The following is a 27670-nucleotide window of genomic DNA, read 5'->3' as shown; positions in this document are numbered from 1 at the left end:
TGAAATGCCAGAGTTCCAGGGTTCTCTCTCTCTCTCTCTCTCTTTCTCCCTTTGTCCTCCCCTCCCACCGACATCCGCATGAGGATACAGTGAGAAGGCAGCCATCTACAAGCCAGGAAGCGAGCCCTCAGTGGAAACCAACTGTCACAGAACCTTGGTCTTGGACTTCCATCCTCCAGAACTGTGAGAATTAAACATCTGTTGTTGAAACCATCCAGTCTGAGGTATTTAGCTATAGCAGCCTAAGCAGACTAAGACACCCAGTGTGTAATTTTAAGACTAAACACAGGGAGAAGCTCATAACAGCAGCTTATATTTGCACAGTACTTTATGATATGTAAGGTATTTTCATTTATCTTATACAGTTTAATTGTTCCAAAAACCTTGCAAAATAGGTACAATTTACAGATTCAACAATGGCATAAATAACCAAGGCTAAGAGAGTTCATTTACCTTATCCAAACCAGAAGTAAACCAGATTTTATTCTTTCAATTTATTCATCAAAAAAAAAAAATACCACCAAAGAGAGAATGCATCCATTCCCACATTTCTTTGGTCAAAGTGAGACAAATTGTAATAATTCATCCTGCCTTTCTACCCTTTTCTAAAAAAATTTTATCTTGGTACATTAATCTGATTCTGCTTCAGGTGCTTAGAAAATCTGTCTCTATCTCTCTGTCTCAGCCAAGCCTCGCTTTACACATTCATATGCAGTCTTTCTTTTGAGACAAGGCCCAGAACATCAATTCAGGCTGTGCCTGTGAATTGCTGGTGTCACATAGCTCCATGCTCCACCTCTTTACAATGAAATGCCGGTAAAGTCTTCAGCAACCAATGTCAGCAAAAGCCTCATCTTCCTTCATGTATCCTATTTCTGGGTACTACCCAACTCTCCTGACTTTTACCATTAAGTTTGTAAATATCACATCAAAGCCACAACAATTTAGAAGCTATGGATTGTGTTTGATAATTATTCAATAAGCTTGGAGTTTTACCTAAAATCTATCTCTGGGGAAGGATACTCTTGAATAAATCTTGTCATTAAGCACATTTCTGGGGAGTATTTGTCCACTTACCTTCCCTCAAAAAATTGCTTTTTAAATTTGCAAGGTGACATTTTTTATGATACCTTAAAGGAACTTAATTCAGCAAAGGTCACCGAAGTCATGCAGGACCCATGAAATAAGATATGGGCATTTCCTAATCAGGAGAATAGGGCTAAAGCCTCTGTACTTGTTTCATGGTGGAAATACTAACCACCTATATTCAACTGGAAATAATTCAATCCTTTCATAAAGTCCCATGACATCTAGGTTTATGCCAGTCCAGTAAAATAAAATATATATACATATGTGTGTGTGTGTGTGTGTGTGTGTGTGTGTGTGCATGCGTGTAATTCCATACTGACTCATCCGTCATCTCTTCCCAGGACTACAGCAGCCTCACAGTGCGGTCCCCTCTTCCGCTCTTGTACTCTTAACATTTATGCATCAATCAGCAGCCAGGATGTTTCTTGGAAATATAAATCAGATCTTGCCCCTGACTCTGTGTTCAAGGTCCCCAGTGGCTTCCCGCAAGAATCAGCACAGCGTTCTCTCTCTGTGCTGTGGTCCAAAGTCTCTCTTAGCCTGCCGACTTTCCCATCACACTTCCTCCTGCTCTTCTTTCCAGCCCCAGCCTCCAGACTTTGCAAGGATTTTCAACACTTCAAGTTCACCTTTGCCTCAGGCCCTTTGGGGGAGTCTCTTTCCTTACATTTCCATTCTTCGAATCATGTGGGTCTCAACTCCAACGTCTTCTCCTTGGAGGAACTTCCCTGGCCAACTCACTGATGTCCTTGTCACCTCTCCCCTCTATGGCATCCTTCATTTCCATCATAACACGTGTCCCTTGCTGCCACAACTTAGCTTATTTATTTGCTTACTTGCCACTGATTTGCCCCTCCACATGCTTATCTCGAGGTTTCCTAGGCCAAGGACCTTCTTTGCTTTCCTCTACTCAGTCACAGCAGCTACACAAGTCCATGACCTTGAGAGGCACTCAATAAACATTATGAATCACTTTTATTTTCTCTTTAGTGGAAAATCAGATAAAATTTGGAATACTTTCATTTGGATAATCATCAATTAATAAATTTTTAAAATATATATTGATTTATATATAATTTACATTTATATAAATGTAAACTATATACAGATGAAGAATAATAGCTGTTAGCAAAAACAGATGGAATAAGACAGGTGTGGACAGGGCAGATGTGCACACACAGTACAGGTAGGAGAAGATAAGTCCATGGTGGGGGCAGAGAGGATGTGGCCGGGGTGTGACTTCAACAAGAAATGTTAATGTCTTCTTGCCCTATCCAGGAAGAGATGCAGGATCTCAAGCTTAAAATCTAACTCACAGAGCGGGATCGTTACAGTGTGTGTTCTCTGCCCAGGTTGTTGGTCCCACAGCGGCCAGCAAATTCTCTTAGGGCAGCAGTGCTGAGGGAGGCAAAGACCTTCTTAAAGTAGTGAAGACTCGGAGCAGAGTGTGCGCACTTCAAAAGCATCCTAGGGATGATTTTGAGGCCAGTTTGAGACCAGCCTGGCCAACATGGCGAAACTCCAACTCTACTAAAATACAAAAATTAGCCAGGCATGGTGGCATATGCCTGTAATCCCACCTACTAGGGGAGGCTGAGGCAGGAGAATTGCTTGAACCTGGGAGGCAGAGGTTGTAGTGAGCCAAGATTATGCCACTGCACTCCAGCCTGGGCAACAAAGCAAAACTCCATCTAAAAAAAAAAAAAAAAAAAAAGGAACCCTACAGGAAGCCTGATACATTGGTCAAAATTTCAGAAATGGTCTGCACTTTGGTATAGATTTTAGAGACAACAGCAAATATACTAACTGAAAGCAAAAAGGAGGACAGAGAGAGATTTTGTGACAGGGATCGTATGAGTTCGTTCTCGCATTGCTATAAAGAAATACCTGAGACTGGGTAATTTCTAATGAAAAGAGGTTTAATTGGTTTGCAGTTCTGTAGACTGTACAGGAAGCATAGTAGCTTCTGCTTTTGTGGAGGCCTCAGGAAGCTTCCAATCATGGCAGAAGGCAAAGGGGAAACAGGCATCTTACATGGCAGGGGCAGGAGCAAGAGAAAGAGAGGGAGCAGGTGCCACACACTTTTAAACAACCAGATCTCATGAGAACTCACTATCATGAGAACAGTACCAAGAAGATGGTGCTAAACCACATATAAGAAGTCTGCCCCCATGATCCAATCGCTTCTCAGCAGGCCCCACCTCCAACACTGGGGCTTAAAATTCAACATGAAATTTAGGAGGGAACACGAATCCAAACCATATCTAGAAGAAACACTTACCTTCTGTATTCTAGAGTTTATGTGGTTGCCTCCCATACCTAATGTCTTGAAGCCTGGGAATGGGTTTATTTTGAATTGGCTGTATCTCACATAAAGGCATTTACAACAATCTCTTGAGTTCATTCACTCATTTATTCAATAAAATATTTATTGCATGCCTATTATGTGCCAGACCCTGATCCTGTCTCTGGGAATATAGTCATGAAATTCCATTTTAGAAGAAGAACAAACTACTTTGCAAATGAGTAATGAATGAATGAACTCTTCATGGAGTTTTGGATTATATCAATTAAATAATAAAATTTCACTTCAGTAGGACTGCCCCATGTTGTGAATGAATCACTGGCAAAAAGCTGTTGGCCAGTAACTAAATGTTCGCGTTTCCCTTGAAAGTCACACTGCCATAGTTTAAGGCTAAATTCCAGGTCACAGCTGCGGCAGCGCTGAAAACGTGAGCAAGTTCATGAACTGCATTTGGCTGTATTCTCATTCGGCGACATCTGGACATCCTGCTGAAGTCTGAGATGCTTATGCAGGCTCTCTGAAGGAAAACACAACCTGTGTCTAGCCTTTGTTTTCTCTTTTCCTTTTCTGCAGAGCCTTTCAATCTTTGCTTTATTGTTTTCTTTCATAACCTCCTTATTTTCAACCCCTCAGCTCAGTTTGCAGATATGGATGAAATCTTCTCTGTTAGACTGTCGTTGATGGACTATGACAGCCGAGGACACCAGCTTGGAGTTTTCAAGGGTGTCTGGTTTGTGGGAGTTGATACTGGTCTTAGGCAAAAATGGGATGGAAGCCAAGCTATGACTGGTCAATTCACATGGCTGATGTGAGCATGGGAGCAGGTCAAGTAAGGCAGTCAGATCTGGAAGGCCTAAGAAGCTTGACACAAGCAGGTGGGACAGGTATCCTGGTTAGGGTCTACTGCTCCTTGGAAAGGCTTAGCTCTCCAATGAAAATCACTCCACTGCCTCTGCTAGTTTCCATGCAGGTGTCTTGGCTCTGCTAGTCTGATTCCCCTATATCAAATACTCCCTGACCCTAAAAGACCCTCTGCTCAGATATGTGGGTCATTTGCAGTCCTTTGAATCGGTCCGTCTTCCTCAGAGGGCTTGAGGTCAGCTCTCTTGGGTTGGTCTCCATTACAATGGCATTCACCAAGGAGCCACACTCCCAGAAGATTGAGATTCTAGAAGCAGAGTCTAGGCCTGTGCCTTCTTGCTGATATCAAACTCTATACATTACAAAAGATCCCCAACTCTCATTACCTCCTTCAAGCTGCCTTCCATAAATATATGTCCACAGAACGTATCACTCAGTCCATTTTCTCCACTGATCTTGAGCATTTACTGTCAGCTGGTAGCAATCCTTGGGGAAACATAGTTACCATTGTTAAAGTGGACTAAATATGGCCTGCAAAGGACTCCATACTTCTATATTTGAGTCCCTGTGGATGAACCGTAACTTAGCTTAATAGGTAGACAAGACTGAAAACCTAACTTAGGAGTATGCGCCTGTAACAATAGCTGAGTGTTGGCCAATCCCAGTTGCCATATTTCAATCACTCATAGACTGATGGGTGTTCAAACTGTGTTCAAACAAGGCAAACACCAGTAACCAATCCAGCTGTTTCTGTACCTCACTTTCAATTTCTGTAGATCACTTTTCTTTTTTGTCTGTAAATTTGTTCTGACCACAAGGTATCCCTGGAGTCTCTCTGAATCTGCTGTGATTCTGTGGGCTGCCCAGTTCATGAATCATTCATTGCTCAAACTCCTTTAAATTTAATTTGGCTGAAGTTTTTCTTTTAATGCTAACCATATCTCCATTCCAGAGAGCACCTCTGAGGGGTGTGTGTGTGTGTGTTGTTATCTTAACTACCCAAGCATTTTAAGGTATGCTTCCTAGAATTAATGTTTGAAGATGAATAAAAAATATTTTTATGCAGTGCTGGTATTTCACTCTTTAAAATCAATTTTTATTTTATCTATGTTTAATATTCTCTGATAGTTAATTGTTGGAATCGATTCTGTGTTTAATGGGATATAAAGAGCAATGACTAAGAATCAAAGCACATATGTTATAGTCCGCCCATATGACTGTGTGATCTTGAGTGAGTCACAACATTCCTGAGCCTTAAAAAATGTTACTTGAGAAACAACATAATCCCTGCCCAACTGGTACAGTGTTTTAAAAAATTAATTAGATATAAATTACAAAATTATTAACTCTATTAGGCTATGTAAATATAAGGTAGTTATGGTACAATTATCATCCTCTTCACAATTGCCTTATTAATACTCAACCATTTAGTTGCCTTTCTGTAAATTTTCATGAGGATAGAAATTATATTTGAATGTGCACAGTATGTCAGCCATTGAAGATGCTCAATAAATATTAGGTACAGAATAAATACATCTTCCAGATGAAAGTTTTCCAAAGAGAGGATAATAAGCCACTAGTGAATCATAAACTGAATTTAATGAGGCATTACAAGCATTTAAAAAAAAGTAGAACAGAGTGAAAAAAGAAAATATTAGTGCAGTATACTGGCAAAACTGAGAATTATTTGGTTGCTATTTGTTATAGATGTGTATGTATATTTGGAAATGTATGAATCTCAGGGTAGAGTGCACTTATACTTTTTACCTGAAGATATAATCAAAAAGTCTAAAAAGTACTTCTTTAAACAAGAGGAATTTAAATTTTTAAATCCTTGGAACATTACACAACAGATAATATGAGTGAAAAAAGTTTTGTGTCAAAAGTACTGAAGAAACTTCCTGGGTGAACACAGGTACAAGTCAGCGTTTTTCGGTTCTCCCCATGGACATTATACCAAAGCAGCAGGGAGAACGTTAAAAGACAAAACAAAATGAAACAAAAACAAGCATATAATCTCCAGTTTTAGTGGAACTTGATGATACATATAAATCCACAGATCTCTAAATACATACAAAGCTTGCCCAAATCCTCCAAGATCATGCAGAAACACTGGTGTAAGGAAGGAAGGAGGAGAAGGTCAGTGGTAGTGAGAGACCCAGCAGGTGACCTTAGAATAGGCCAGCAAAAGACACTCCTGAAGGCAAGCGGGTACCCCAAAAAGAACATATTTTGCTGCCTGTGTGGCAACAATGGGTCGGGAAACTGGGGAGAGCAAGGATGGTGGAATAATTGTTTCTGTATCTATTTTGAATCAGGGCAAAGATAACTTAGGGGTAGAGAATGACTCACCTGAGGTATTAGAGAAAAACAGTTTCTGTGGCAGTGGGCATCTACTGAACCTTCCAGCTCTGAACCCTAGATTGTCAGCCTGCTAGTCTTAGTTTCTCCCCCAACAGCCACCACTCTCAGAAATTCCTGTGAATACGACTTAAGAAAATCCAACCTATTCAATGCTAAGTGTTAAAAGACACAACAATGATCTAACAATAAATAAATGTAAAAAAACTTGATATATGATGACTTACCAGAAAAAGTATTGCCATATAGCAAAAGAAAGTTGTTCCCATTTCCCTATGAAACACAAGGCTTTGAAACAGTTTACTCTGAGCAGAAAGACCACAGCTCAGAAATGCAAGACTGGAGGGAAATAATTGAAAGCTGATAAAAGGAGATTTTTTAAAAAGTTACTAGTATAACTTGAGAACAAAAGTAGAAGAAAAGAAATGGAAAGATCATAAAAATGAAGTGTGGGAAAATAGGTACTTCACAAAATCTACCAAGAGACACGGCTAGAAATGAGAGATGTGAAAAACGTACAAAACTAAAACAAATAGAAATGAAAACAAAGGACTAAAAAGGATAAGAAAGAAAATAATAGCCATAAAAAGGCTAGAAAATAGAGCTAACATACACATTGGCGTCTCCAAAGAAGCAATAGAACACACTGCCACAGTAGAATACAACAGACATTTAATGTTATTAAAAAAAACAATTATTGGCCAGGCATGATGGCTCAAGCCTGTAATCCCAGCACTTTGTGAGGCCAAGGCAGGTGGATCACCTGAGGTCAGGAGTTAGAGACCAGCCTGCCCAACATGGTGAAACCCCATCTCTACTAAAAATACAGAAAATTAGCCAGGCTTGCTGGCCGGCATCTGTAATCCCAGCTGCTCAGGAGGCTGAGGCAGGATAATCTCTGGAACCCGGAGGCAGAGTTTGCAGTGAGCGGAGATCGCACCAGTGCACTCCAGCCTGGGCGACAAGGGCGAAACTCTGTCTCAAAAAAATAAAATGAAATAAAACATTTATTTTCCTGAAATGAAAGAATACTTGAATCTATGTGTGGAAAGTCTTCATTATGTGCTAGAGGAAATTGATGTGAAATGGTCAACTTTGAGACCTGCACGAATGAAGCTAACGGTTTTAAAGATAAAGGAAGAATTCTTAGGGCAGCCAGGGAAAACATCACAATAAGAATGGAAAAAAATGTAATCTCAAATTTCCCCCCAAAATCGTTAACACCAGAGGAAAGTGAGGCAGCACCTACATGACTCCTCCAGGAAATGTGAGGACCAATGATTTGATATCTAGCCAATCTGTCTCTCAAATATTAAAACTATAGGCAAACTTTATGAAAAACAAGAACACCAGGAGTATGACTACAGTATTGCCAAGAACCCGCACAATAAAATTACTAGAGGATGAACTGCAGCCAAGAAGTGATGGGGGAAACTGTCACCCTAGTGGTGAACATTGAATAGAATGAACTGTAGACATGAAACAGAAATTCCCATGAGTATTGCTGAGATATAGAGAACTACAAATTTCATATGCCTAGGCAACCGAGAAATGACAAAATTGGGAGGGAAAAGGAGAAGAAAGGTGAGGCAGAGTCAATTTTTTGATGACTTTAGCTGTGATAGCTGGCTATTGGATCGTATCATTTAAAGATGAAAAATCAAATAACAGAAGTATAAGCATATTTGACAAGACAAAAGTCCACGTTAGCAAAGACTTCATGGACTGAAATTAGGGGATTGAACAGAGAAAGATGACCAGAAGGGCAAAGTACACATTATTTTCAACATGGTTTACAATAAGGAAACAGTAGATACTGTCTAAGTAAATAGAGACTAGGGGTGTTATATTAAAGTTTAGCACTAAAGGTAAACATGAAAGAAAAACACAGATTTTTCTAAGTATTAGAAAAACCACAAAAAATAAAAATGATCATGAAAGTAGACCACATAATTTTAAACAACAAATCAGAAAAGGTAACATAAAATGTCAGAGGAGTTTCATGTGTCAACTTGTCTAAGCCACAGTCCCCAGTCATTCAGCCATTTAGGTGTTGCTAAGGAAGTATTTTGTAGATGTGATTGAAGTCCACAATCAGTTGACATTAATTAGGGAGATTACTCTAGCTGATCTGGGTGGTTCTGATTCAATCCATTGAAAGGTCCCAGGAGCAGAGCCGAGGCTCTCCTGAAGAAGAGATCCTACCTGTGAGCAGCAGAAGCTCTTCTGGCCTGTGAATCACAACCTGTCTTTGCTGGTGGCCTGCCCTACAGATTTTGGACTTGCCTTGCCAGGTCCCACAACTGTATAAGTCAATTCCTTACAAAAATATGTTCATGTATATCTGAGCTACTGGTTTGTTTTTTTCTGGTTAAACTGACTAATAAAAGAGGCAAGTTCAAGTATATTTTTCTTATCAATAAATGTAAATAGTATATCTCTCCTATTATAAGAAAAAAATTTGAGAAAGAATCAGAAAACACAAAACACAATCCAACTCTATAATGTGGAAAAAGACACATCTAAGCAAAGTGATTGAGGAAACTTGAAATTAAATGAATGGGCATAGCATAATGGTAAATGCAAGAATTATATAACTAGTGGTAATGATCTTAATGCCAGGCAAGATGGAATTCATTGCACAAAATATAAAATGACCCAAAGTTGATGAGCTTCTATTTTTAAATAATACTCTCCACAATGAAGAAACATTGGAATCTAGATACTTAGGGTTAGGGATTAGAACCACTTTTTTAATCACTACATTCTAAGTCCTTGGTCAATTTCTGACACATGGCAATTCCTCAATAAAAATGCTTGCCGAGTAAATTTATGAGCGGTTTTGAAAATCTATGCATAAAGTATCATATCAGCAACATTTACAAAGTAGAAATTAGAAGAGATACAGCACGAAATTTAGCATACTGGGATAACAGACATTAATTCCTCTCTCTTATCTCACCAGCCATGATATATCAAGTGGATAAAAAATAAGTAAGACTATTTCCTGTGCCTGAGTTTTCTTGAAAGATGAGCCTGAAACAAGGATTAAAGTGCTGACATTGTTTCAAGACCCAGGCTGTGAAAATGAGAGGAAAAATCAGCGAGACAAAGGGACAATTTCAGCACTGCAGTAGGCGAGAAGGCGGTGCTGGCCTCTCAGGTGTTTAGCATTTGTGTTCACGCGACATGTGATACTTCTCGAGAAGATTTTCAAGGAGAAATGACCCTTCAGAACCTTCCTGAGAGAAGAAAGAGGCAGAATCGGTCTACCTAGCTTCAAATGGTCAAAGTTCACCCACAGGAGCTCAGCTCGTTGCACTTTCAAATTTCATCATCTACGCTGTCAGGAGCCACCCAAGAAGCCAGGTGCCATGCGCGCTGCCTTTTACCATGCGCGCTGCCTTTTACCATGCGCGCTGCCTTTTACCATGCGCGCTGCCTTTTACCATGCGCGCTGCCTTTTACCATGTGCGCTGTACCTACAGAATTATGTTCAGCTGCATTTCAGCAAGGTACTGAAAACTAGCTAAATGCCCATCAATAGTAGCATTCGAATAATTTGTATTGCTTCTATTCACAGAATTCTATCCATCTGTAAAAACGCATAATGAAGATATTCTATAGGTACAAACAAAAATATTTCAAATACACATTTAACTGTTTGGTACAAAGGGGTAGAAATACATATACATATTTGTATCTTATTGTGTTTAAAGAAAAAAAATCCGCAGAGAATTTGGTAGTTCTTTGGTGTTGTGTAGTCAGGCAAGGGGAAGAATATATACATCAAAATTTATTATTTCTAATAAACTGCAGAAATCTGAAGTATTTAGGTATTTCTAAACCTAAAGTATTAGAAACATTTGACATGAATCTAGATTGATTTAAAATTCTGGAGGAATCTTTGGAAATAAATTTCAAAGTCTTCAAAAATAAATACACCCTAAAGCAGGGGTCCCCAACCCCCCAAGCTGAGGTCCAGTGCTGGGCCTTGGCCGTTTAGGAACCAGGCTGCATAACAAGAGGTGAGCACTGGGCAAGCTAGCATTCCCACCTGAGCTCTCCTTCCTGTCAGGTCAGTGGCAGCATTCGATTCTCGTAGGAGCACAAACCCTATCATGAACTGCACCTGCGAGGGATCTCAGTTACACACTCCTTATGAGAATCTAATGCCTGATGATCTGAGGTGGAACAATTTCATCCTGAAACCATTGCCCCAACCTCCCACCATGCATGGAAAAATTGTCTTTCATAAAACCAGCCCCTGGTGCCAAAAAGGTTGGGAACAATTGCCCTAAGGGACCAATAATCTCATTTATAGGAAATTTCCATAGACACTAAAAATACATTTCATAAACCTTGTAAGTTATTATCAGTATGGATAAATTGGAACAGATAGATATTTTCTTAAAATAATGACAGATATCTCTTAATGGGGAAACTTTAGAAGCATTCCAGACAATATTGGCTAAAAACCTGTAAAGTGAAATGCTATCAGCATTGCTTAACACAATCATTAGCTGCTTCAATTAGAGAAGCAATAAAAGCATATAAAATACAAAGAAATGAGCCAAATTATCTTTATTTGAGGATATTAACCCTTTAATCTCTCCAAGCCTTATAAACTTGAGGTAGCAGTCCGAATATTTTCCCAGTTTAATGGTCTTTGTTCCAACATTTATCAAATGTACCATACCTCTGCCACTCTTACAATATAGCGTCTTATGCCCATAGGCCTGTTTATTCCTCCATTCATTCCATTGTCATATTTGTCAACCTCCCCACTGTCAGTACTCTTTTAGAGTCTATATTTTTGTGCTGTTTTGATATTTGATATTGTTTACCCTTTTCAAAATTAGAAATAACTTTTTCATGACTAAAAGTACCATAAATGAAGTCCAAAGAAAATTAGTATATTGATGACATTGTAAATACCTACAGCAGCAACATTAAGTGATGTGCAACCTCTTCTCATATAGTCAGCATCGGTTAGGGAGTGAGCTAATATGTATCATCATCTGTTTGTGGGAGAGAAACTGAGGCAACCATTACAGAGGAAAATATCTTTTAAATTTAGGTGAATTATCTGTCTTTATCTTTTTACTTATTCAAATATCATCATCCTATCAATGAAACACCCAGACATGCACAGCAAAAATGAAATTCAGTCATCTTTAATATTTTGCTGAATTTCAGTTATATGAAAACCAAGCAATTTTTCATCTCTATTATGAAGTTTTATTTGTTAAGGTTTGTGGATCAAATCTACTTTAGTTAACAATTTCTTGGTGTGCTTGATATTTTTGTCAAATGGGCTTCTATATTAATACATTCTTTTTTTTTTTTTTTTTTTTGAGATGGAGTCTCACTGTGTCGCCCAGGCTGGAAAGCAGTGGTGCAATCTCAGCTCACTGCAACCTCTGCCTCCTGGGTTCAAATAATTCTCCTGCCTCAGCCTCCTGAGTAGCTGGGACTACAGGCATGCGCCCCTATGCCCAGCTTATTATTATTATTATTATTATTATTTTGTATTTTTAGTAGAGATGATGGGGTTTCACCATGTTGGTCAGGCTGGTCTCAAACTCCTGACCTCAAATAATCTGCCCACCTTGCCCTCCCAAAGTGTTGGGATAACAGGCGTGAGCCACTGTGCCTGGACTAACATATTCTTATCATGGGCCCTGCAGGTTTATGAATGGCCCCCACCGCTGCCCATCACCTTTAGCATCTGTGGGGCCCAGGCCACCACTCGTCAGCTGTGGCTCCTTAGGCCAGTGGCTTTGGCTTTCTGGGCACTGGCTGATAAAACCTGCCTTCTCTAGAGTCGGCCTTTCTGGAAGCGCTCTACACACCAGTCCTTTCACTTAGATGCGGTGTTCTTATTGCCAGCGCAGACTGCAGCTTCCTCAAGGGCACTGGCCAGGACCTGACGGGCATTTCCCGCAGATTCAGCCTCAGAGCAAGGTGTGTTCTGGGGGCCTCCAATCCCAGGCTCTTGTGGCTGTCATCCTACAGGGAAGGGAGGACCAGAGGCTTTGAGGCCACCAGGCAGGCAACCCCTTGACAATTAGTTGGGTAAATGGACCTGATGCTGTGTGGCCTGGCCCCCTGCAGTCCTCTTCTACCCTGACACTGCCTTTGGCTCCTCACTCTGGGTCTACTGACCACAGTATCCCTACCTCTGGCCAAAGCAACCAGAATATGCCCTGTGTCCATTGACATCTGGGTTAATGAATCTCCATGGCCCAGGTCACCACTGTTCCTTCTCAACACCTTGTGGAAGACCAGAAACCACCCACTGGAGAGGGTTATGGGGATGTCTGGGACTGAGAGCAGAATAGAAGCACCCACGCATGTGTGTGTGTGTGTGTGTGTGTGTGTGTGTGTGTGTGTGTGTTCAATGTGGGCTTTCTGTGGAGGTCTGAGCCATCAGGTACTCTGGAATCCTGGTGCTAAATAATCTCCACTCAAATGTTAATGCAGGAGCCACAGGCAGAGGCTCCCCGGGAGTCCTGGGCAGATATGGCCACCATCCATCATCTTGGCTGTCAGTCAAGCTGCATCCTGGATGACACTGGGCTCTTGGCTGTGCAGACCAATCGTCCCCACCTCCCACGCACCTCCTCCCTGCCCGTGCACACATGCCCAACTCAGGCCTGGGACCCTACTCTCCATCTGAGTTTCAAACTCATGCCCATTGGGATAGAAATGTGGGGGATGCATGGCATTTATTGCTCCAGAAAGATTTGGTCTTGTTTGAGTAAAATGCAAGGTTGAATTAGATGAGCTCACAAATCCTTTATAGCATTCTTCTCTCAATTCTAAAATTCCCTAACTCTACAATTCTATTAGAATGGTGCAAAAGTAATCACAGTTTTTGCCATGTTTTTTTAAAAGTAATGACAAAAAAAACCACAATTACTTTTGCACTAACCTAATAGTACCAGAGTTTACTTAGAGGTAACTTATGGATGCTTAATTCAGCTCAAGTTTTATCCAATGCCCAGTTTTGTGAGACTAGCATTTCACATCTTTACAATGCATCTAAAAAGATGGAAATTAATACAGCAAAACTAGCTATGCTTAATTAATATGATTTTGAAAATAGTGTTGCAATTTTTTTCTGAATGTATTTTGCTTACAAGAAAACAGAAATCTTCCAATGAGAGGGAAATTGAAGTGGGAAAAAAATCAATGTTCTTCTGGACCACTTTGGTCAAGACCTTTCAGCTAGTAAATTAGTTTAATATGTGTACAAAAATAATTCTGAGTTGAGTTTTTAAAGTCAATTATAATACCGTAAGTTCAAATTCCCTTGTTTTAAGTAAAACAATAAGATAGAACATATGTAAGTTTTTAAAGAGGAATCTCCCAGCGGGGGAGGGTTGTGGGGAAGCCACCAAGTCAATTTTATGCCTTTTGTGAATGTTTTGGACTGCAAAACAAGAGTATTTTCCAAAATCACATCAGTTGCAGCCTTGGGTGGTTGGGGAGGGAAGGCCAGGAGAAATGTCCCGGTGCATGCTTCTTTCCCAAAGTTGTCGGGCTGCTCACAGCTCACCAGACTCCTGTTCTGCATTTTTCACTCACCAGGAGGCCTTGGTCCACACATGTTCCCAGGCTTCATAGGCTGGAAAGGTCAGGGAATGAACTAGAGAGGAGAGCATGCCGCACTGACCATGGAGATTCTCCTAATACAGAGGACACACAAGAATAGAGTGTTCGTGCTTTTATTTTCTGTGGCCTGTCTTAGTCTGTTCAGGGCACTATAACAAAATACCATAAACAGGGTGACCTATAGATGGTAGAAATTTATTTCTCATGGTTCTGGAGACTGGAAGTTTGAGATCAGGGTGCCAGCATGGTCAGGTTCTGGAGAGAGCTCTCTTCCCTGTTGCTGACTGCTGCCTTCTTAGGGTGAGGGAGCTCCCTATTTGGCAAAGGCATAAACCCCAATCATGAGGGCTCCAGTCTCATGGCCTCATTTGTTCCCGTAGGACCCATCTCAGAATACCATCGTATTGGGTATTTCAATATATCCAACATATGAATCTGGGGAAGACACAAACATTCAGACCATAGAATGGCCCCACAGGTATTTTTAGAGAAGGGCTAAGTTGTAGCTACTGGGGGTGAATGTGAGTGAGGGGCCAGGGAAAAACACAGAGGCAAGGGAGTGTTCTGACAGCTTGAGAGGCAGCAATCAGGGAAATGACAGTGGGAACCCAGGAGCTCAAAGGCTGTGAGGTCTGACCAGGTTGGTCTATACCAGAAATTCTCATATTATTCTGCCATATCCCCAAGCACAGAAACAGATTGTAAACAGGTGAGACACAATGCTCCACTGTGTAGATAAAGGGTTGCTAACTTCTAAGAGGGCCTGGCAGTAAGCAACATCAGGCTTCCCGGAGCTCCTCTCCAACCACCAGCACAACAATTAGGGCCACATCTCATGGACCACCTTTATTCCTGCAATATTTCATGAATTTCCCCAGGGAATTAACTACATGGGATATTGCCAAATGGCTTCTATCCACCCCATTCTCCCAATAGATCCAAGAACAGGTGAAATTTATTCAACCACAAAAATGTATTGTATCTCTCCCATGTGTCAGTCATAGTTCCAGGCACTGAGGATACAGCAGTAAACAGGAGCAGAGTCCCTGCTTTGTCTCGCATATGTCCTAGTAACAGAGGTAGATGAGATAAACAAACAGACAACTTACATGTAATATGTCAGAGAGCAAAAAGTGCTGAGGATTAAAGTAAGACAGAGGAAGGGAGAGAACATGATGGGGATGATATTTGATCAGGTTAGGTAGTCACATTCCCTCTGACAAGGTGGCCATTGAGAAGAGACCTACAGGAAATAGAGAACTATGCAGACATAGTGTATGAGCCCATTTTCACACTGCTATAAAGATATTCCCCAAGGTGTGTAATTTATAAATAAAAGAGGTTTAATTGACACAGTTCTGCATGGCTGGGAAGGCCTCAGGAAACTTACAATCATGGTGAAAGGGGACAAGGCACATCTTACATGGCAGCTGGTGAAAGAGAGCAAGCAACAGCAGGAAAAACTGCCTTATAAAGCCATCAAATCTCATGAGAACTCACTCACTATCACTATAACAGCATTGGGGAAGCCACTCCCATGATCCAATCACTTCCCACCCTCCACACATGGAGATTATGGGGATTATAATTTGAGATGAGATTTGGGTGAGGACACAGAACCAAACCATATCATTCCTCCCTAGCCCCTCCCAAATCTCACATCCTCACATTTCACAACACAATTATGCCTTCCCAACAGTCCTCCAAACTCTTAACTCATTCCAACATTAAGTCAAAAGTCTAAGTCCAAAGTCTGAGGCAAGGCAAGTCCCTTCCACCTATGAGCATGTAAAATCAAAAGCAAGTTAGTTACTTCCAAGATACAATGGGGGTACAGACATTGGATAAATGCTCCCACTCCAAATGGGATAAATTGGCTACAGGCCCCATGCAAGTGCAAAATCCAGTGGGGCAGTCATTAAATCTTAAAGCTCCAAATAATCTCCTCTGACCCCATGTCTCACATCAAGGTCACATTGACACAAAGGGTAAGCTCCCACAGCCTTGGCAGTTCCACTTCTGTGGTTTTTCATGGTACAGCTACCCTCCTGGCTGCTTTCACAGGCTGGCATTGAGTGTCTGCAACTTTTCCAGGCACACTGTGCAAGCTGTTAGTGCATCTACAATTCTGGCATCTGGAGGGCAGCAGCCCTCTTCTCACAGCTCCACTAGGCAGTGCCCCAGCAAGGACAGTGTGAGAGGTCTCTGACCCCACATTTCCCTTCCACACTGCTGTAGCAGAGGTTCTCCATGAGGGCTTAGCCCATACAGCAGACTTCTGCCTGGACATCCAAGTATTTCTATACATCCTCTGAAATCTAGGCAGAGGTTCCCAAACCTTAATTCTTGTCTTTTGCACACCTGCAGGCCCAACACCACATGGAAGCCTCCTAGATTTGGGGCTTGCACCCTCTGAAGCCACAGCCCAAGCTGTACCTTGGCCCCTTTTATCCCTGGCTGTTGGGATGCAGGGCACCAAGTCCCAAGGCTGCACAGAGCCACAGGGGCCCTGGACCCAGCCCAGGAAACTATTTTTTTCTTTCTAGGCCTCTGAGCCTGTGATAGGAGGGGCTGCCACAAAATTCTCTGACATGCCCTGGAGACATTTTCCCCATTGTGTTGGCAATTAACATTTGGCTCCTCATTACTTATGTTAATTTCTGCAGCTGGCTTGAATTTCTCCCTAGAAAAAAATGAGTTTTTCTTTTCTATCATATGGTCAGACTGCAAACTTTTCAAACTTTTATGCTTTTTCTTTTCTTGAATGCTATGCTGCTTAGAAATCTCTTCTGCCAAACAGGCTAAATCATCCCTTTCAAGTTCAAAGTTTCACAGATCTCTAGGGCTGGGGCAAAATGCCACCAGACACTTTGCTGAAGCATAGCAAGAGTGACCTTTGATCCAGTTTCCAAGAGGTTCCACATCTTCATCTGAGACCACCTCAGCCTGGACTTCATTGTCCATTTCACTATCAGCATTTTGGTCATAACCATTCAATAAGTTTCTAGGAAATTGTAAACTTTCCCACATCTTCCTGTTTTCTTCTGAGTCCTCCAAAATGTTCCAACCTCTGCCTGTTACCTGGTTCCAAAGTCGCTTCCACATTTTTGGTTATCTGTATAGCAGTGCCCCGCTCCACCCCACTCCTGTCCGACTCCCATTTACTGTATTAGTTCATTTTCACACAGCTATAAAGACATTGCTGAGACTGGGTAGTTTATAAAGAAAAGAGGTTTAATTGACTCAGTTCCACGTGGCTGGGTAGGCCTCAGGAAACTTACAATCATGGCTGAAGGGGAAGAGGCACGTCTTACATGGTGGCAGGTGACAGAGAGAGAGCAAGAGCAGGGAAAACTGCCTTGTACAACAATCACATCTCATGAGGACTCACTCATTATCACAAGAACAGCAAGGGAAACCACCACCATGATCTAATCACCTCCCACCTGGTACTTCCCTGGACATGTGGGGATTATGGGGATTACAATTCAAGATGATATTTGGGTGGAGACAGAGCCAAATCATATCACATAGACAGGGAGTGGATTCCCAGAAGAGTAGACAGCAGATTCAAAGACCCATGCCTGGAGCTGCAGGGCAGGATGGACAGAGGAGGCCAGAGCACTGAGCAGAGTGGTGGGTGGGCTGTGGTCCTTAGTGGAAAGGTAGTTTATGAACAACTAGCCTCAGCAAAAATTAATTGAATTATGAAGTGATATTATGCAATAATTATTAACAATTATATTAATAAAATGTATGTTAATAATTACATTAATAAAACAATAACTAAATAGACAACTTGGAGATCATATAAAGTTAATAACTTTCCAGCTTATCACAAAATTGATTTAAGCAGAGAAAGGAAAATATTTATGGAGAAAACTAACAAACACTCTCCACAATGTGGCTGTGTCAGTCATCAATTTATTGCCTCTTAGATCCAAAGGCACCTACTAGACCCACAGTGGGATTCCTTTCCCTTTTAAAGTAAGCAGGGGTGTTAGGCAATAGAGACACTGCAGGGGCCATGCAGGGCAGCTGGGTTTCTGTGATTACTCGAGAAGGTGGGGCCCTTGGTTGGGGGGTGTGAGGACACCCAGGGAGTCTGCCCCATCCTCCAACTTGAACGCAGCCCTGTGCACACCCCCAGCCTGGGAGGCAATGACCCACAGACACTGAGAGCCACTTGCCCCATGCTGCCTGGACAACCTCAGCAAACTCCTGTGCTGTGCAGCCTGTTTGCTCCACCTGTGTCCAGAGAGTCACATGGAGCAGTTGTCCCTTGCCCAACACCTCCCTGCCCCATGTCTCTTTCTTCCCCCTCCTGATGCAGTCACACAAGTTTGGCCCCCACCCCCTCCTCACTCACTCCTTCTGTGCACTGTCCCACCTGTCCTGGGACTGCCTTCTCCCCAGACCCACACCCTACACTCAGAGGGAGGCCTCCTGCTTTCCCAGAGATTGCTGGCCAGCTTGGGCCTGGCTAAACTATGAACTTCTCTACCACCCAGGGGGTTAAACTGTATCTTCTCCAACAAGGTTTGACTCCCTTCCAACTTTTTCCTTACTTGGGTACTCTCTCTTGGTCCTAGTGTACCAGAGAGTTTCCTTACATCAGTTACTCTTTTGTAGTAGTTAGTAATTCTTTATATTGAACTTCCCTGTTTAACCTGTTGCATGGATTCTGTCTTCTGATTAGACCCAGACTCCTACAAAGACCAAACCAAGTTTTTAAAAGCTTCCAATTTAGAGAAGATTTCATTTTTATGCAAGCTCTTTATGTTTGTTTTTAAAAGTTAATCTAGCATACAATGCAAAAATAAACAAAAAAACAAAATAGAATATCTTACTTGTAAACGTTATTGCAAAGATAGTAAATAAGAATCATAACAAATGGCAGTCCATTAGAAAGTAGCAGAGGTAAGTGCGAGGGGCAATTTTGTGTGTCAACCTGTCTAGGCTACAGTTCCTAGTTAGTCCAACCTTCATCCAGGTGTTACTGTGAAGGTATCTTGTAGGTGTGATTAAAGTCCACGATCTGTTGACATTCATTAGGGAGATTAATGTGGGTGGATCTGATTCAATCATTTGAGAGATCTGAAGAGCAGCGCAGAAACTCCTCTGAAGTAAAAATTCAGCTAGTGGATCAGCTCTAGCTGGTGCCTAAGAGTTCTGGCCTGCCACTCCAGATGGCCAGCTTTATGGATTTTGGAATGGCATAAGTCAATTCCTGCAATAGACCTCAATATCTATATGCCACTGGTTCTGTTTTACTGAGGGAACCCTGACTGATATTCATTGTAGGTATCTAAAAATAGATGTTATAATCATGAGAAAATTGTCAGGAAAACTGGATTGCATCTCAGTTCTTAGATCAAAATAAATGATTAATGGATTTAAAAGGGAATAAAAACATGATTTAAAGCATAAATAATTAGGAATGGTAAAGTCTTTCTCAGTATGATACAAAACTAAAAAGCCACAAAGTAAAAAAAAAAAAAAAAAAAGTGAGACATTTGAATACATACAAATGTGAAGAAAATCTGAAGGGCAAAAAACTCATAAAATGAAGTAGAATGTCAAAGACAAAAGGAGGTTGTATTTGCAAGAGGATGATTTATTTACCTTCTATGTAAAATACCAACAAAATAAAAAAGAAATAAGCAACCCATTGAAAGTAGTCAAAGATGTAAAGATACAATACTTAAAATTGGAAGTGCCAATAAACAAAAAGCAAATCAAAAAGAAATTTCCTCTGTTCTAAGAAGTTTAAATTAAGAAAATTTCAGAAATGATGGGTATAAATGATTTGAGTAGAGGATCAAAAAATAGAGTTCCTCAGGTACTGTTATTGGAGCATACATTTTTGAAAATCTTTAAAATGCAAATATACAATACCTATTATACTTATTTTAGGATATTCATGCTATGTGAATCAGCAATTATATTCTAGGAATTTATTCTAAGGAACAGTCACAGTTTTTCAAAATCTATGTAAAATCATATTCTTTACATATTATAAACAGTGGAAAATTTGGAAACCAATCAAACATATTGTTTTGTTTGCTTCTGATCCGTAAGAATATCATGGAGCCCATTCATCGTAACAGTTGTTGGCCAAGCTCCCCCTTTTTCTGATGTGTACAGAACTCCGTCTCCAAAACCCTGTCCAAAACCACTAGAATTGTCAGAAATTAAGAGAAACTTAATTTTTCTGGCAGGTTTCTTTTTCTTTTTCTAATCTTTTTTTTTTTTAAATTATCTTTGTTCTAACAATTTTCTTATCTTGACTGGAGAATCCTACCCACCCCCAGTGAAATATTCAAAGACTTTAACTCTGACTTCCTCCTCTAATTCTCTGCTTCCCAATCTCCAAACCAACGTCTGCCATTCTGTTTCAGATCCAAGCAAACGGTGAAGCTGTGTAGGTTGCTGGATGCCTCCGTGGCTGTCTCATATTTTTCAACTAGTCCATGCTTCCTTCAGAGGTTGTGGCTTCTGGTGCTTGGTATGTGGATGTCTCCCATTCTGAATCCAATTCGATTCTAGGAATTTATCCTAAGGAACAGTCACACTATTTTTCAAAATCTATGTAAGATTATATTCATTACATGTTATAAACAGTGGAAAATTTGGAAACCGATGAAATGTATTGTTTGATTGTTTTTCGAAATCTATGTACAATCATGTTCATTACATATTATAAACAGTGGAAATCTGGAACTCAATCAAACATATTGTTTTCTTTGCTTCTGATCCATAAGAATGTCACAGAGCCCTTTCATGGTAACAGTTGCATGTGCATATTAAGGTGTGGTCAAGTATGAAGCAACACCCTTTAACAGGTAAGTGTTGCACTTTTGACGGGTGAGTGGACCTAGCTCTACAAGAACATCCTCCAAACGAGCCACAGAGGGTCTGCATTTCCTCACCTGATGAGCAGGTTCCTGATCTGTGGGTGTCATGGCCTTGTCTAAGGTTCAGTCACCTCCCTCACTGGGTTTGTGGACTCTTCCATTTGGATAGCCTAGCCTGTTTATGCTCTCCCTTACTGAGTTCCAGAACTGGAACTTACCGGACCTCCTCTGGTAAGGACCTCTGGCAAACCCCATGCTGGGGTTTCCCCCATGACATTCCCAAGCCAGATTGTAGGTTTGGGTGGGTGAGGAGTGGGGTGGAAGGTGCCGGGTCTTCTGAGTGTCCTCAGGTCTTGTGTAGATAACAGCAAAAGGAGAATCAGGGACCCTGTTGTGAGTTGGATTGTGTTCTCTCAAAAGATCAGCTGATTTTGTCAATAAAGTTTTATTGCAACATTGTCACACTCGCTTTTGTACAGGCTATCTGTCCCTGGCGACATGTCAATGGCAGGACTGAGTAGTTGTGAGAGAGACCACATGGCCAGCAAGATATTTACCACCCACCCTTTCCAGAACGAATTTGTCAACCCCTGCCCTAGGTCATAATAAACATTCTTTACATTTTTAGACAACTGAAATAAATGGAAAGGATTAATGCCCACAAAACTACTCCATTGGCTATTTCACAATGACTAGGAGGTATGAGACAACTTCCCTTTTCCACAGCCCAGCAAGAAGAAAATGGCTTAAGCTTTTCATAAAACTTACAAGAGGGAAACTACACTGTGATTAGGATGGATTTTCTAAGCTTTAGAAAAGCTTAGCTTTGTTTGAAAGACAGAATTATTTGTAGGGGAAGCGAAGGCAGCCTGCCAAAAGAGAAGAGGTTCCTTTTTTTAAAAAAAAACAAAAGGGTTTCAAAGTGAAACCTGAGTCAAGCCAACGTCACACACGTGTCCTCTCCAACCTTTCTGAAAACTGCAACAGGAATGGGGAGACTTGGATCATAAGAGGGCTCCCTGCTCACCAGATGGGTGGCCTTGAGTGACTTTTGCCAATGTCTCAGCATCTCACTTTTTTCATTTATAAGGTAAGAGATTTAAATAAAGAGTATCTAAACCACGTTATGCATTAGAGGAACCTGGGGAGCTCTTCAGAACCCATTGATCCTCAAGTGGCTTCTTAGAGATTCTAATTCCTCAAGTCTGAAATGGGACCTAGGAATATGACTTTTCAAGAAGCAAGCCAGGCTGTTGCTAAGCAGTCTGTTTGTTATTAATTCCTGGGCTGGCATCTAGAAGCCTCTGAATTAGAGTCTATAACATCCCTTCCAACTCAGTGACTCTTTAGGTACAGAGCCTTAACCCAGCTTCATACACGCTGTTTCTATCTTGTGTCTATTTCTGGGGAAACACACACAAACACACACACACACACACACACACACACACACACACACACACCATTAAGCTTTCTCTTTTCTGCCATCTTGGGTTTCCATATCTATGGGATGAAATCATGCATTTTTAAGTAAGCTGATCTTTCATCATCATCCTTGGCATTCTAGGAAACACCTACCCCAAACTCGTCTCAACATCCATATTTCACTAAAATCAGAAGCTTCCTCATGTGTTGGGCAGGCCACAGGCCTTGCTGACACAGGACCTGGGATGGAGCCAAAAGGTGCATGGAAGCTGCCGGGTTCCCTGTGCACCTGTGTTCAAATAACTTCCAAAAGTATGCTGTGCTTCCTTAAATCAACAAACAACACAAGGGCTTTGTTTCAACTCTAATGCTGGGCACGTTCCATTTTCAAAAAATGTCCCGATGATTTAAGAAGAAGGTGAATGATTTCTGATTAAACTTGGTATATAATTTTAAGGGGGTCCAAACAGCCCAGAAGATCTGGTTGTCATTCTCAACCAGGTTGAAACAATTTGGCAATTGCCTAATCTTCAAATGAGATTAAATTGTACTTCTTTGAACAGATTCTCATACATTTGGGTAAGTAAGTAGAGGTTAGAGACACATGTGATTACATGGAATGAGGCTACAAAGTTAAAAACCATGGCTAAAAATAGGTTTGAACACCAGGCATGTGTGGCTTCTTCTGCACCTGGGGAGGAAAGTCAGGAATACTGTGAAGTGAGTTCCTATTTTGCAACATTCTCTCTTTCTTCCTCTTCATCTTCCTTCCTCTTTCTCCCTCTCCCCAAACTGTGTTCCCTGTCTTTCTGTCCCTCTGAAGTGATTACCTTGAAAATACAAGCTGTGATTGCGTTCAATCAATCTGGTTTTATTAGTAAGATGATGATTCCATAAATAAAATCCAAGCCAAAATGCTGTCTGAATGTATGCTCAGAAACGGAGTTAATCCACCTTTTTTGGTACCTTAATACATTTTAAAACAGCCAATTATACTGATCCTTCACCTCTGAAGTTTTCCCAGTGGTCTTTTGGGCAAAGATAATCAGCTCTGTTCTGATGGGTCTTGGATGTAAGAATGCAGATTCTCGGCTCCCAGCAGGCAGTGGAACGCGCGTTCCTGTGCAGCCTCTCACCTGCACCCTGGGGAGCCACAGCACCTGCTCACAGAGCAGGAGAAAGGGAGATGGGACCATTGGCTTTGTGCAGTGACCTACACTAGGGTCTGGAGGGCAGAAACGAAAGATGTTTCCTGCACTCAAATCCATGTGGATTAATGGAGACAGGGATATGCAGAGAAATAAGCAAATCCATAGTTAAAAATGTTATGCTCCGTAGGATTCTTTCTAACGTCCTTTATTCCCATCCTGTATTTGAAGTTCCTCCCCAAATAAGAATGAGTCCTGAAGACTGTGATACAGATCAATCCGTTCCTACCTTCGAATCCCATAAAGAAACAGGGAAGGTTGTCACCGGACAGAAAGAGAGGGTGACCCAGGGATTCTGTCCCATTCAAGCAGGCTGGTGGCTGGGAGAGCACAGGATGTGTGTTCAGAAAGTCCACAGCAGTAAAACCTCTGCTCCCTGAAAACAGATCTTTTCCAACTTCTCAGCCATGATTTCACCAAGATGCCAACTAAATGAAGTGGTGCTGTGAGAATTAAATGAAATGACATAGGTGGGGTGGCCACCGAGCCCCAGCTGCACAATCACCATTCATTTTATTCCTTTTTCAAAATATAGAGCAAGTTTCTGAATGGGCAGTTTCCACATGCCTGCCTTTGTCAAAATACCACATATAATGTCATGGTTAGAGCAACTAACAGGGTACAACGCCTGGCTCCTCCTCTGTGAGCTGTGTGTGGGACATGTCTGTGCCTCGGTTTTTCAACATATGTGCAAAATTGGAAAACCAACTCTTTTGGTTGTAAAGGTGAAGGAGGCCAACAGACGTAAAAAGCCCACAACAGGGCCTGGCCCACTCTGAAGTCTATCAAGTGTCTACCCTTGTTCTTGTCCTTGGAGGCATAGGAGTGTTGCTGCTTCTTCCTGTTGTGTAAACAACCTTTACTAGAGGCTGTGCTGTCTGTATTGGGGCTGAAAAGAGCCCACCATATCTTAAAGTCCTCCCTAACCATGGAGCCCACAGTGCAATGACATCTAGACCGCTTCTCCACTGGTCTCTCAGAACACACACGGAGTTTTTTTGGCAGGGACTAACAGAAGCAAAGAATACCCAACACCCATATTTTGTCCCAGGGGTTGATATGCAAGCCCAAAATATACATTAAAATTGGAAGAGCCCTAGAGGGAGCTTGTCCATACCCTCCATTTATAAATAGGGTCAGAGACATTGAAATAGAGGGAGCGATTCGTCTCTAGCCAATTTGAGAACTTGGGCTAGAATCCAGATTTCTCCTCCCCTGACCCACTGCTCTTTCTAGAACATATTGAGGCAGCATAGTGAAGGCAAAGATCATGAACTCAGGGTCAGAATGCTGAGTCCAAATCTTTTCTCCTCTGATGTCTCATTTTCAAGTTACTTAAGACTTCGAAACCTCACCATCTTTATCAAATAAATATATTAACACCTTTCTTATACAGTTGCTTAGAAGATTAAACAAAGTACTGCTTGTGAAAGCACCTGGCTGGAGGCAGGTGCTTACTGAACATTAGTTTCTTCCCCATTGCAATAGAACTTGTATATTTATTGATGCTTGGAAATAGGAGAGAGACTCAGAATCAACAAAGATTTCTGATGGTGCAGCTGGCCCAGCGCCTGTGCTCAGAGGTGTACACAGGTGAGTGCCTTTAGGCGTCGACCCTGGGCAGATACTGAGCATTGGAGCAAGAGAGCAATGGGATCTTTCTTTTCTGGGAATACACACTAACTGGCTGGGATGCTGTGGGCAAGGGAAAGTGGGTTGTGAAACCCACAGGTGGCCCAGAGCATGGCAGTGACCAGAGTCAGTGTCAAGGCTGTTTTCCTCTGGGCTATACCCCCCACCAGGTTTGTGGGGACTGCAGCCAAGTCAAACAGAGCTGCACACACTCAGAGCTGCACTTGCTTCAGGCTTTCCCAGGGATGGCTTCACCAGGCTCTATGGGTCAAATGTTCACCCCGCGTCACTGGGAGGCAGTGCACCTGTGTGGTTATTATCCACCAGCTGAGAAGCCAACCCTCTGTTCCCAAAAAAGCTCCTGGGTTTTCATTTTCTTTAAAACGTAGAACATTCATTGAATGCAACTTGTCAAGCCCTCAGCCAAGCTTAAACATTTGCCTTGGCACCAGGCCATCCTAACACAAGGACTCAACGCTGTCCCTGGCTGACATGGCTTTAAAAGAGTTTCAGAAGTTGAAATTCAGTGAGATCGTAAATACACCAGGTAGACAGTTGAATCTGAAGATAAAAATCGTAAGGTGATTTGCTAGATCCAAGGAGAGGTCAGGAAAAACCAAGCTTCTTTCCCGATGTCCTAAAAGTTCAATAATTCTTCAATGATAGCTTCCCTTTATTGAGTGCTTCTTATATCCCAGGTCACTACTGTGCATTACTGCTAATCCCTAAAGACAACTGGTTGTTGTTATGTCCATTTGGTTGGTGCACAAACTGAGGCTCTGATTTAGCATGAGATCATAAAGCTAATACGTGATGGGGCTAGAATTTACATCAATGCTGGTTTAAGGAAAACAAAATCAGAAATAAAAAACTGAAGTTGTTTTCACTATACCATAATATCATGCTAAGAAACCAATTGAAGTGAAAAATAAATTAAATATCCTCATGAGATTAGAGTCGTAACCAAACTTAACAGAAGTGCAGTCTGCCCTTTAGCAGTCTTCAAACAAGTAATAGTCTTAGGGCAGAAGACCCAATGTCACGTTCCGGCTCATCTTGCCCGGCTCATCTTCACATACAGTATGTTCCAGCCAAAGTGCATTCCTTCCCAGGATGCTTCCCAAGGCTTTTTTTCGGTGCCTCCAAGCTCCGCCTCCCGGGTTCGGGCCATTCTCCTGCCTCAGCCTGCGGAGTAGCTGGGACTACAGGCGCCCGCCACAACGCCCGGCTAATTTTTTGTATTTTTTAGTAGAGATGGGGTTTCACCATGTTAGCCAGGATGGTCTCGATCTCCTGACCTCGTGATCCGCCCGCCTCGGCCTCCCAAAGTGCTGGGATTACAGGCGTGAGCAACCGCGCCCGGCGGTGCCTTACTGCTCCTTCTGCACAAAATCCCTTTCTTGCATTTCTTATTTTTGAAATTGCAACCATCTTTAATTCTACTGCCTCCAAGCAGATCTCTGACTCTCTTGAGTCATTCAGAGAACAAAACGTTTGGTTTTGTGGGTGTTGATTAAAGTAAAGAATTCCAAGTCCTGCCTGTAGAGATTCTGATTCCACAGGTCTGGAGTAGACTCTCAAAACGTCCATTTCAATAACATTCAGATGAGTCTGATGCAGAAGATACATGGAGCATGCCTTGGGGAACACAGGCCTAAGTGTATGAGTTCTCTCCCATTAGAACCTTTAGAGTTCTTATTTACATTGCAGTTGTTTCTGTATGTTTGGTTTAATGTCTTTACGCTTCATGCAGTGGCTGTGACTTGTTATTCTTCGTATTCTTCTACTGTCGGACACAGAGTTGGAACTCCACAAATATTTACCAAACTGACCTTACTACCACATTTTTAATTAGAGAGATACATATTTTGGAAAATATCATTTTTCTAAATTTTCCTGCTTGCATCAGGTAAAGAGTAAATCTGGGGAAGGATTAAGAAGAAATAAAGACAGCAGATTTGGAGAGATGGGAATACAGTTATCCTGGAAGGAAATGTCAGGGAAGGGTGTGGACTCAGATTGGGCCTATTTTTTTTGTTTTGTTTTGTTTTGTTTTGTTTTGTTTTGTTTTTGCTTATTTGTTTGTTTTTGAGACAGAGTCTAGCTCTGTAGCCCAGGCTGGAGTGCAGTGGCGTGATCTCGGCTCACTGCAACCTCCGCCTCCTGGGTTCACGCCATTCTCCTGCCTCAGCCTCCCGAGTAGCTGGGACTACAGGCGCCTGCCACTGCACCCAGCTGATTTTTTTTTTTTTTTTTTGTATTTTTAGTAGAGACGGGGTTTCACCATGTTAGCCAGGATGGTCTCGATCTCC

The 27670-nt window shown here is 41.6% G+C and overlaps 1 long non-coding RNA gene across 1 annotated transcript in view; it reads left to right on the top strand.

Moving 5' to 3' along the window:
• LOC105373408 (uncharacterized) overlaps positions 1 to 20804 on the top strand; it is a 66343-nt gene extending 45539 nt beyond the window's left edge. The window contains exon 4 of the long non-coding RNA XR_922750.1: positions 20638 to 20804. This is a non-coding gene — a long non-coding RNA (uncharacterized LOC105373408). The remainder of the gene's footprint in view (positions 1 to 20637) is intronic.
• The last annotated feature ends 6866 nt before the right edge of the window (positions 20805 to 27670 follow it).

This window comes from Homo sapiens, chromosome 2 (assembly GCF_000001405.40).
Source record: "Homo sapiens chromosome 2, GRCh38.p14 Primary Assembly".
Classification (NCBI taxonomy): domain Eukaryota; kingdom Metazoa; phylum Chordata; class Mammalia; order Primates; family Hominidae; genus Homo; species Homo sapiens.
Note: the sequence above shows the minus strand (reverse complement) of the source record. Positions and strands in the feature narration are given on the sequence as shown.